General features: G+C 41.9%; 4 annotated features.

The window, feature by feature from the left end:
- Window positions 3,120-3,169: an enhancer, noted in NCBI's record as "active region_15802". NCBI's record gives its function as "activates an Ori minimal core promoter by ATAC-STARR-seq in GM12878 lymphoblastoid cells {active_cell/tissue: GM12878}" and the evidence as "EXISTENCE:reporter gene assay evidence [ECO:0000049][PMID:35858748]".
- Window positions 3,310-3,389: an enhancer, noted in NCBI's record as "active region_15801". NCBI's record gives its function as "activates an Ori minimal core promoter by ATAC-STARR-seq in GM12878 lymphoblastoid cells {active_cell/tissue: GM12878}" and the evidence as "EXISTENCE:reporter gene assay evidence [ECO:0000049][PMID:35858748]".
- Window positions 3,870-4,369: an enhancer, noted in NCBI's record as "active region_15800". NCBI's record gives its function as "activates an Ori minimal core promoter by ATAC-STARR-seq in GM12878 lymphoblastoid cells {active_cell/tissue: GM12878}" and the evidence as "EXISTENCE:reporter gene assay evidence [ECO:0000049][PMID:35858748]".
- Window positions 5,140-5,219: an enhancer, noted in NCBI's record as "active region_15799". NCBI's record gives its function as "activates an Ori minimal core promoter by ATAC-STARR-seq in GM12878 lymphoblastoid cells {active_cell/tissue: GM12878}" and the evidence as "EXISTENCE:reporter gene assay evidence [ECO:0000049][PMID:35858748]".

The raw sequence follows: 12,001 nt of genomic DNA, 5'->3' as shown, positions 1-12,001 counted from the left end.
CACTGCACTCCAGCCTGGTGACAGAGTAAGACTCCATCTCAAAAAGGAAAAAAAAAAAAAAAGTAAGCAATGGAGAGCAAAAGGTGGAGGTGGTGGACAGGGACTCGGCCAGTCTGACTGCATCCCCAGAAAGAGAGAGGACCTGGTGGAGAGTGTGGGGCTATGGTGGGGAGGCCTGGAGTGTCGGGCCAAGGACTTTAGATTTTTTGTTGTAGCCAGTGGGACGGGATTGTCATGAGATGTGGTGGAGGACACAGAAACCTGAGGCAGAGAGGCTCCTGTTCTCCACACTCTGGGGCCTTGGGTGGTGCTTATGTTAAATCATGACATGAGTCACCAGAAGGAGAGCCACCCAGATGCGGGAGGGCAGAGAATCTCTCTGAGTTGGGAGTAGGGAGAGAATGCTGCAGACTGGAGTTGTCTGGGAAGGTGTCTTGGAAGACGAGGATTTTGCCAGGTGAAAGGGAGTAGTAGGAAAGTTATGGTATTTTGAACCATCTTCTACTACAGGAAGATGATTATTAAAGCAGCACTAGACCCTACCTTGGCTGTCAAGATGCATGAATAAAAATACACTTGTCACCATATTTACTTCCTGTTCCCTTTCTTCCCGTTTAAAATAGTAATTGATGCTTTCATTTTTTAAAACAGATGTTCTCCATTTTTCAGCATGTTGTGGGGTTGCAGAGTATGCGTGGGGCAGCAGCTGGTGATAACATCTTTTATTTTTTAATTTTCTGGCTGTGGATTGGAATTAGAATCAGGATTTAGAAATGGGGAAGCCGTGGCTTGTGGCCTGCATCCTGACGTCTTACATTACATCTCAGGTAGCAGTTTGTCCTTATGAATCAAACCTGCCATGCTACTGACAAATAGGAGGTATTTTTATATGATGTAAGTTATACCTGCTTGTGGTAAAACAAAACCAAACCAGAAGGTTTCCTTTTCTCCTAATTTGTCTCTCCAGAGGAAACCACTGTTAACAGTTTGGTTTATATCCTTTCAGTCTTTTTTCCTTTTCAGATAATAACAGTGGTAAGAACTAACCTTTACTGGGGAATCTGGACATGCCAGACACAATTCTAAGTGCTTTACATATATGAACTCATTTAGTCCCTGTGCCAGTCCTCTGAGGCAATATGACTGTTTTCCCCATTTGAGAGATAAGGAAACTGAGATGTTAAGTAATTTTCTGGAGCTCACGTAGGTAGTAGGCAGTGAAGCCAGGATCAATATCCAAGTGTTTTGAGTCCTAAATCTGTGCTCTTAGTTATGACTTTATGCTGCTGCCATGAATATGTATAGTGCATATACATATTACTACCTAGTTCTTAAAAAGATGAAATCATACTATAAGTGTTGTTCTGTGGTTTGCTTTTTTGATAAACATTAATACTGGGGACATTTCCCCATTTCAGTATATATAAATTTAATTCTTTTTAAAATGTACCTACAATTATACTGATGTAGCATCATTTTCAAAAACGATACTCTTCCTTCTGGCCATTTGGGTTTGCTCCAGATTTTTGCTATTATAAACAATATTACAGTGAACCTCTCAACAATAGCAGTAGCAACAACTACCATTAATCCTGAATAATGTGCTTACTGTGGGTGGGGTCCTATTCTAAACCTTTTCCATGTATAAACTCATTTAAACATACATCTTTATATAAGTGGGCTAGTGTTTCCATAGGCTAGATGCCTGGAAGAGGGACTGGTAGGTTAGAGGCCAAGTGCATTTAAAATTTTGATTGCAATTTTCCTCCCCAAACAGGCAAGTATTTATTAAGTGTCAGCTCTAAGTGCAACACCCTCTTAGGCATTCTTTGGAATGCACAGACACATGAGATAGGGGCCCTCCCACAGGTTTACAAGAGTGGAGAGACAAGCTGGTACAAGTCGCCAGGTGATGAAAACAGTCATTCCACAAGGCAAAGCTGGTGGCATATGCTGGGAGCACTACAGGTGTGTAGAGAGCAGGGAGGTCTGTGAGGGGTGGAAGGTATCAGGGGGAGCTTCAGAGAGGAACTGGGGCTGAATGAGGCTTGGAAGGATGGAAAGATGGAGGGAAGGGGTTGGAGAGCAATCCTGGGGAAGGGCCAAGAAGAACGAGGCTTAGGCGGGAGGTGGTGTAGTTGAAGAATGAGACAGTGAGTCTGTGGGATTGCCATCCTGACTGAAGCAAAGAGTGTGTTTTGGGAACTGGTCAGCCAGCCGACCATCAAGAGAAGAGTAGAATAAGAGTAGAAATGGACATCCACCTGTCACATGACTAAATTGTTTAACCCAAATAAAAGCTAATCAATTAACAAATAAAGCTAATCAATTAGCTTTATAAATGAAGCTAATCAGTTGCTAAACTGTGCTCTATTCTTCTGCCTTGACATAAGAATCTTTGACCTGGAACAGGTTTGAATTTAGAATTTTCCACTCCATGGACTATGGCACTGGAGGGTGGTGAATTACATTTCCCGATCAGTGCCAACAGAAAGAGAATAGGGCTTGTGATAATCAGATATATTTGCCCAAATCACTTGGATAAGTTTTTCTCCTCTGTCAATGCTGAAGCACGCTGGTGCTGGAGCAGGAAATCACAGCCCAGAGAAGGTGAGCAGGTGCCCTGTTCACACAGAGCTTGGAAGTTCTAATCTCTGACCTGAAGTGAGACATTGAAATAGAAATCTTTCTCTTCCTCCTCCCTCCTTACCCTACCCCCAGCCAACAAAGAAAGAAATGCAGGTGCATTTAACTTTGCCTGTAACTTTCTGTTCTGCAATGAAAATGGCCTCCTGTGTTTTTGTTTCACAAGCACAATTAAAAGTCTAATTTCAAAGCTACAATAGGGAAGCAAGGGCGTCAGTAAGAAACCCAGAACTTGATGCAAATAATTGAGCCATTTTTAATTTGTTCAGTGTGATCAGGTAGGGGGAAATTCTATATTTAAATATAACCAACCACCTTGAACCTTGTATGGAAGTAACTGTGTAAGAAATGTTTGGTAACATGTTGCTGAAGTTGTAAAATGTGTACCTCCCAAAACAAGGATATTCAAAAGTTAAGTTTCTCACGGTGATGTTAACACATCCGCATCGCGTTGCACATGCTGTACAATTCTGCATCATAAAAAATGGATTTACAAGCTTAAGTACTACTCGGGAATATTACATGTGTGGAATGTGGCTGGGTTAATGTCACTGTGAGACCCTTAGCCGTTGCCAAGGAGGTTTCCTGAGCCTCAGCTGGGGCCAGGCGGGGGCAGACTGGAGAAAGCCGCTGCTGCCTGGGCCTGCAACTTTGCCTAATGAACAAAAACACCATTTTGGCCTCAAAGATCTTGAGCTCCACAAGCCACAAATCACAACGAGGAAGAAATCAAACATTAAGGTTTCTCTCGGATTATTATTGACCAGGACGGTCTGGAAATTATAGGATCTTTCTAAATGTGGGCAGGGGCTTCCGTGAGGTCCAGCAACACAGTGGCATTTGCTTTTACTGCTGCTATTTCTCTGTTTCTGGTTTTACTTACTCTGACCCCTCTCCACACCAGAGCCGGTGTGAGAGCTGCTGTCACCTGGCCTTTCCCAGAGCTGGAGGGAGTCCCTGGGGGACGAGTTGGGTGGCAGGTGATGCGTGTAGACTAGGATGTGAGATTAACTCCAGTCCGAAAGGGCCCTGGGATAAATTACACATGTCCGAACATATCCATAGAGGAGGAGTTGAGTGGAAATAGGCTTCAGGGGCAGCCAAAGAGGGAAAAACATGAGGACATTGTGTGTGTGTGTGTGTGTGTGTGTGTGTTGCTGTAATGATGGGAGGGAGGATGCAAGGCAGGACTTACGGGTCCTAGCCAGCTGTGCTGCACCTGGTCCGTGAGGCAGTGTGGAGTCCACCGAAACGACCCTCAAGCCTGATGCCAGTTCCAGAAGCCCAGTCGGCAACTCTGCCACCTTACACTCCTCTCCCCGTGGAACTGCCTGGGGGTGCTGGCATGGGGACATGAGGGATGTCTGACAGGAGAAACAAGCATTTCAAGAGTGTGTGGTTGGCTTCGCTGTCCTTTGGGGGGAGGAACTGGAATCAGTCAACAGGCAAGTAAGTTGTTATTGCACACCTTTTATGTATTCTGCTGGGCCGTGGGCTGCGGAGGGCACTAAAGGGGTAGAACATCCTGCTCCTCTTGAAGACGCCCAGCCTTTGGTCCCATGACCTCAGGCACATGCGTAATCTAAGCGGCAGCCCAGAACTCATGACGGGTGCCCAGTTCCTTGATGCCTCCTGAAGGAAATGCTGCAAGCTGTTCAGAGGATGGAGACTGCATGGGGGTGTTCGTAGGCAAGGAAGGCTTCAAGAAAGAGGCAGCTCTGAGCTGCTTTTCAAAGAAGAGAGGATTTAGACAGGCAGAGAGAAGTGGGGATCACTCAATAGAAGTAAATTCCACAAGCTCTGATCTCTATCCCTAATAGGGAACGGGGCTCCTAACAATAGCTTTTTTTTGTGGTCTGAATTCAGGCCCGACTCCCAGTTCCAGCCTGAACACTGGTCAGCTGAAGACAACGCTGCCACCTTCATCTCTTCCCTGCCTGTCCTGCTTACAACAGTTGCAAGAAGTTTATACCCACATTAAGCCCCCAGAGGCAGGCTGGCAGCCAGCCTTCGCCACTGGTGCAGAGAACTGAGTCAACCACCCGGTGTTCCTGGCTGCTCCCCCTGAGAAGCTTTCCCACCCTGTTCCCTGAGTCGAGAGTCTTGGCTGGGCACCTGCTGCACTGTGGACGTGCGGACGCGGCCTCCAGAAGGGGGAAGGGAGCCCTGGCTGGCTTCTCTGAGACGTGTTGAGTGGCTTGCCATTGAAGACTGTTTCCTCACTCAGGCAGCTGCATGCCCCAAGTGAGTGACTTCCTCTCTCTGGACTCAGTTTCTGAATCTGTAGACAAAGAGGGTGGACCAGATGGTCTTGGAGGTGCCTTCCAGGTCACATCTCTCCTGTTTCTAACAGCAGGTGGAAGCAGGTGAGGAGGGCAGTCGGGCAGAGAGGAATGGAGAGGAATTCCCCCACAGAGGCTCTTGGGAACCACACAATTCCCCATTCTGGTGCCACCTGCTTCAAGGATGTGAGTGAGAGCAGTGCTGGCCTTGAAGCCTACATCGGTGGGTAGTCTAGCCTCCCTAGATGTGTCCTTAGGTGTCATGGGATCCATATCTGGATCATCAAGGAGACCTCACTTAGGCTTCTCTTGACTTACCAGGAAAGGCTAAGTCTTGCTTCGGGCAGGCAGCTGCCTCTGGGGCCCGGGCCTGTGGCCCCAGGGGAAAGAATTGTTGCCCCAAGATGCTCATGCAATGTTGTGTGACTGTGGCAAGGCTGTGCCATTTTAGCTGGGATCAACACGCTAATGGGCACAGGTCCAGGGGGAGTGCAGGTGCCTTCCTGGGTGCAAAGTGGCCCTCATCCCCATAGCACACAATGTCTGCACAGCTGAGGCTGGAAGGGACTGGCTGAGGGCCGTGCTGGTGTGGGCAGATCCCTGGAAGATCACCTGGGCCATCTCCTCATTCTAAAGATGAGAAGAACGAGGCTTGGAGAGGATGAGTGTCTTGTTGAGGGTTGCACAGCAAGTTGGGGACACAGCTGCAGGAAATCCAAGTCTCCTGATTCCTAGCCCATGATATTTTCTCTCCCACCAAGTTGAAAGGCTGAGGTGATGGGAGGCCTGGCATACCACAGATGGAAACTTGCATCGTTGCCCCCGGGGCTCAGATGATTCTCTAAAAATGTGTCTGAGGAAGTGAGAGTGCAGGGCCTCTCCTCACACGTTGGAGCTGTAAGTAGGGCACGTGCTTTCAGCTCCAGGCAGGACTGGAGAAGGTTATGGAAGGGCAGCCAACCAAGAAGCACTTATTTAAGCATTTTTATGTGCCTAGCCCTGAGCTAGGCATAGTAGGGCATAAAGGAGCTTTGAAGGACCCTCCCAACACAGCAATTTCACTGCAGCTGGTGAGCAAATTTAACTCACAAATCAATTACAAAAACAACCTCATGCAAGCTACTGTTTGTGTAATAAAATGTAAGAACATATATTTGTATTTGCGTAAAGGAAATCTGGAAGGATATAAAAAGATAATAAAAGTGTTAACTAAACAGTTACGTGATGGGGTGGGGGTGAGATTTTTGTCCTTTGTACCTTTTAATTACAAAATTATTTTGAACTATGTGAATGCATTTTCTTTGCAAAACATTAAATACAAACAATAACAAAAAACCCAGACAACTAAATGTGAATTGGGTGGCAAGGGGCCAAAGGGATTTGGGAAAAGCAGAGTTCAGAAGATGTCATAGAGCTGATCCAGGTTTCTGGAAGGCCAGAACTGGAAGAGACTGTTGGCGTTATTTTGTCCAACTTCCCATTCAATGCTCGTGTGTTTTGTACAACAGCCAAGACATGGACCTTCGAGAGTCCCTCACTCAATAATTCCTAAATGCTATGGCATGACAGTGCTAACCTAGGGGTCACAATGCACAGATAGGTCGGTCCCTGTCTCAATGGCCTTATGTTCTCCAAGTGTACCCTTGACTGAAGTGCCAAGGAGATTCTGATTCCTAGGGAAAAACAAGAAACACAGGAGTTAAAGGGCTTGGAAGGAGGATAGAATTAGGGAAAGCAGCAGAGTTTAGTTAGGATTTGAAATAAATCTCAAAGGAGGGGTCAAGTTTTGACAATCGGAGGACAGGAGTACCAGGTGGTAGGGATATGGATAAAGATAGAGATAGAGGCATGTTCTCAGGATTAGCAGGGGACTAGGCCAGGTAGGGTGGAATAGTAGGGTGGGAATCTGGGTGAGTATATGTTGTAGATTGTATTGACTGTCAGTTTGAGCTTTTTTTTTTTTTTTTAATTCAATAGAACATGGAGAACCAATAAAGATTCCTGAGCATGTGCTTGAGTCATTCTTCTTGAAATTCTCCAGTGAGTGGGAACTCCCTATTTCATCCAAGAACTCATGAGGATGAGCTTCTTGGAAGCAGTAGGAATTGATCTGGGGCTTCAAGGATCAGAATGTCGAAGGTACTCTGGGTGGAGGGAAGAACGAGTCTAGTGTTAATGCGCACTGGGAAAGGATTTTGAGCATGAGAGAGCATATCCATGCTGTGCGTTGGGTAGACAGCTCTGGCTGTGCTATCTAGGATAGGCTGGAGGAAGGGTTGCTTGAAGCAGCATGACAAGTTAGGAGTCCCTCACAATTGTCCTAAGAAGAGATTCTGAAAGCCTGACTTAGGAGGTAGTAATGGGAGTGGAAAGGCACACTGGAAAGACTCATTCCTCTCCTATCCCTGAGGTCCTCTTTGCTTGGATTAGAACAAAACAAAACAAGACAAAACAACCAACAAACTTCTGACTCACTTGCCAGTCTCAAGGGAAGAGACTATCCTTAGCTCAACAGTCCAAGATCTCTGTTTACTAGATATTTTCCTGGGTCATTTCTTTATTTCCTGTGCCACTGGCAGGGGGTGGCAGCTGTGGTCACCCTGGCCCTGGTGTTTTTTGGCATTTTGCTGCAGTTTAGATTGTGTTGATGGTAGGATAAACATTTCCATCCTTGGGCATCTTGTTCCATGCCAGAGGAAAGGTACTCAACGGTGTTGAAGCCACTGATACAGCTGGCCTCAACCTTCTCATCTTGCATATGAGAAAATGGAGGTCCGGAGAGTTAAAGAACATGTTCAAATCATGTGGGGAGAAGTGGGGACACAGGAGCAGAATTTAGTCCTTAGGTCTTGGACTTTTTTTTTAAGTATACCTTGCAGTTTTTATTGAATAATGCTAGTATTTACTGACCACATACTATGTGTCATACACTGTGTTAAAGCCTTCATTAATTTCATTTAATCCTCTTAAGTTGCTATAGGTAGGGACTATCATTATCTCTATTTCTTCAGATGACAAGCTGAAGGTCAAAGAAATTGAGTAATTTTCCCAAGGTCATGTAACTAGGAAGTTGCAGAGTCAGAATTTGAATCCAGGTCTATCAGACACCATGTATCTGTCCAAGTATAAGGAACCCCCTGAAAATTACTTATTAAAAATAACTCTGACATCTCCAGCCGAGTGTGGTGGCTCACGACTGTAATTCCAGAACTTTGGGAGGCCAAAGCAAGTGGATCACTTGAGGCCAGGAGTTCGAGACCAGCCTGGCCAACATGATGAAACCACAGCTCTACTAAAAATACAAAAATTAGCCAGGTGTGGTGGTGTGTAGTCCCAGATACTTGTGAGGCTGAGGCAGGAGAATTGCTTGAACCTGGGAGGGAGAGGCTACAGTGAGCTGAGATCATGCCACTGCATTCCAGCCTGGGCCACAGAGGGAGACTCCATCACAAAAAAAAAAAAAAAAAAAAAAAAAAAATTAAAAAAGAAATTGTGACATCTCCAATAGAAGTTCTACTTTTAAAACATTTACTATGTGAGTAAATATATAATGAACTCAGTAATGCATTTAGGTGAACTTGTATTTTAATAATCAGTATCTATAAATGTTATGGAATATATACTTTTGGAAAATAATGTTGTGAATTCATGCAAGACATGATGGAAATGAGTTTTAGAACTTTCAGTTGGGTAGAGGAGGTAGTAGGTAAGGTGGGGAGGATGGTTGCTTACGAAGTACATACAGTAAGGGGTCATCTCATTGGAGTGAGTTTCTAAACCTTTTCAGGTTTCTCATATAACCTGACCCACCGGTGTAAGGGTATGAATGAAGTCACACATTTCACTGGCTTGTTACTCCTACCTGCAGAATTCATGACCTCAGCCCCACTGCAATGTTTACTAGTACTTCTGGAATGCACAGAGTAGCATCACATGTAAACAAACTTGGACCTGCTGCTGGGCTCTGTCTATTCATCGTGTGTCTTGCCATTCTCCCTGGTGCCCTGCCCCATGTCCATGTGCTCGCATGTACTGCTGTACCGGAGGCTGGTGGTCTGTGGAAAAGCAGAGGGAGGGATGGACAGGGAGGCCTTAGTAATCTTTGTTAGAGGTATTTGTTAAAGGGGGTCCCACAGCAGGGCTGCTGGAGCACCAATGAGTTACACAGCTTAGAAAAAAAACAGCTCTTTCCAGTTTTTAATTGAGTATAACTTATATTCAATACAATGCACAGATCTTTAGTGTTTAGTTCAATAAATTTTGATGATTGTATATGCCCATGTGATCAAAAAAGTTATAGAATATCCCAGAAATTTCTTTTATATCCCTTTAGAGTCAATTCCTTTGTTCCCCAGAGTCAATCACTTTCTAATTTTTATCATCTTAGTTTTCTCTAACTTCTCCTAAATGGAGTCATACCATACATACTTTTTAATGTCTGGCTTCTTTAACTTGGAAATATGTTTTCAAAATGCGTCCAAGTTTTTGCATGAATCAATAGTTTATTCTTAATACATACAGTTAAATTGTATTCCATAGTATGGATGTGCCATAATTTGTTTTTCTGTTCTCCTATATTTGCATAGCTGGGTAGTTTCCAGTTTTTGACTATCATGAATAAAGCTGTTATGAACATTCTCTTACAAGTCTTTTTTGGAAGCCTGCTTTCATTTCTCATGTGTAAATAGTAGTGAAATTGCTGGGTCATAGGGTAGATGTCTATTTAACTTCACAGGAAACAGCCAAACAGTTCTCCAAAGTGGTTGTACCATTTTATATTTGCGCCAAGCAGTATAAGAGGGTTTTATGTCCTCTGTATTAACTTCAACATTTGGCATTGTCAGTGATTTTCATTTTAATTATGCGAGTAGGTTTGAAATTATGATTTTGATTTGCACTTTCATGATTATTTTGAGCACCTTTTCGTATTTAATTGACTCTGTATATCTTGTGATATTTTAAAAAAGTCTTTTCCCTATTTTTTTAATGGTGTTGGTTTTGAAATTTTTGGTTTGTAGGCATTCTTTATGTATGGTGAATACATGTCCTTTGTCAGATATTTGTATTGTAAATATTTGTTTCCAGTCTGTGGACTGCCAATTCAATTTCTTAAGGGTGTCTTTTGTTGCACAGAATGGTTTTTTTTTTTTTTTTTGATAATGTTCCAGTAACTATGGGTGCATAACAAACTATCCCACATATTTGGCTTAAAATAATGAAAACATTTATTTTGCTCATTAATCTATATTTTTGGTAAGAATCAGTAGGGATAGACTGCTTTTGTTCCCTTTGGTGTCAACAACTTTATGGTAAGCCTTAAAATCATGTAGTATAAGTCCTCCAACTTTGTTATTCTTTTTCAAATTGTTTTTGATATTTTTTGCCCATATGAGTGTTAGAATCAGCTTGTGAATTTTTCAAAAAGGCACATGAAATGTTGATCTTAATGATATTGAATATGTAGATTCATTTTGAGAGAATGTGCATTTGACAATATTTTGTCTTCCACTTCATGAGCATGACATCTCTACATTTATTTACCTTTAATTTTTTTCTGCAATATTTTTATGCCCTGTACAGTTTTCAGTATTTTTATTTCTAAATGTTGAATGTTTTTTGATGATATTGTAAATGGGATACAAAAATTATTGTCCATTTTTTTATTGGTACTGCATAAAAATTAAATTACTTTTAAAATTTTGGTCTTGCTAAATTGATTCCGTAAGGTTTTCTACATATGTGATCATATTATCTGCAAATAACAATGGTTTAAATTATTTTCTGGTATTCATGTGTTATATTTCTTTCTCTCTTTTTTTTTTTTGGGCTTATTTCACTGGCTATGACTTCTAGTATAATACTGAATAAAAGGGGTAAGAATGGATATAATTTCCTTACACAATGTTTTTGTTAGGTTTTGGTATCAGAGTTATATGAATGTCATGTAACAACTGGTGACATGTTCCCTCTTCTAACTTTTGAAAGTGCTTATCTAAGATTGGTATAAATTCTTCCTTAAATATTTACATAATTTATTGGTGAAGCTGTCTGAGCCTGGATAGTTTTTCTTGGTAGGTAGTTTATTATGAGTTTAATTTCTTAACAGACATAGGACCATTTAGATTTATTTCTTCTTACTTCAGTTCCGGTACATTTTATTTTTCAACAAATGTTTCCATCTTGTATAAATTGTTGATATTTTGGCATCCACTTGTTTATAAAATCTTCTTATTATTCTTTTAATATCTTTAAAATTTGCAGTGATGTCTCTTCTTTTACTCCTGCTTTTGGTGATTTGTGTTTTTTCCTCTTGCTCGATTTTGCCAAAAATTGATCAGTTCTATTAATTTTTTCAAGTATCCAACTTTTAACTTTTTTGTCTATTTTCTGATGTATTTATTTCTGCTATTAAATTTTATTATTTGTTTTCTTCTACTTAATGTTGCCTTGAATTTGTTATTTTTTTCTTGCTTCATTTTTTTTTTTGAATTGAGTTGTTGCTCTGTTACTCAGATTAGAGTGCAGGGGCATGAGCACAGCTCACTGCAGCCTCTACCTCCTGAGCTCAAGTGATCCTCCTGCCTTAACCTCCCAAGTAGCTAGGACTAAAAGTGTGTGCCATCACACCCAGATAATTTTTTATTTTTCAGTTGAGATGGGGTCTTACTATGCTGGCTAGGCTGGTCTCGAACTCCTGGCCTCAAAAAATTCTCCCTCTTCAGCCTCCCAGAGTGCTGGAATTACAGGCATGAGCCATCGTGCCTGACCTTTTTTTGCTTCTTAAGGTGAAAATTTAGGTCTTTGATTCAGTCCTTTTTTCTAATATAGACATTTAAAGCCCTAATTTTCCTCTAAGTCCAGATTTATCTGCATCCTACAAATTTTCTTATGTTGTATGTTTTTTATTCTTCAGTTGGAAATATTTTCTAATTTCCCTTTTTTTTTTTTCTTCTTTGACTGATGGGTTATATAGAAGTGGTTACTTAAATTTTGAAATATTACAAGATTTTCTAGATATCTAATTATAATTGATATCTAATTTCTATTGCAATCAGAGAATATTATTTTGATCC

Source organism: Homo sapiens, chromosome 2 (genome assembly GCF_000001405.40).
Source record: "Homo sapiens chromosome 2, GRCh38.p14 Primary Assembly".
Lineage (NCBI taxonomy): Eukaryota > Metazoa > Chordata > Mammalia > Primates > Hominidae > Homo > Homo sapiens.
This window is presented reverse-complemented; position numbering and strand designations above follow the sequence as displayed.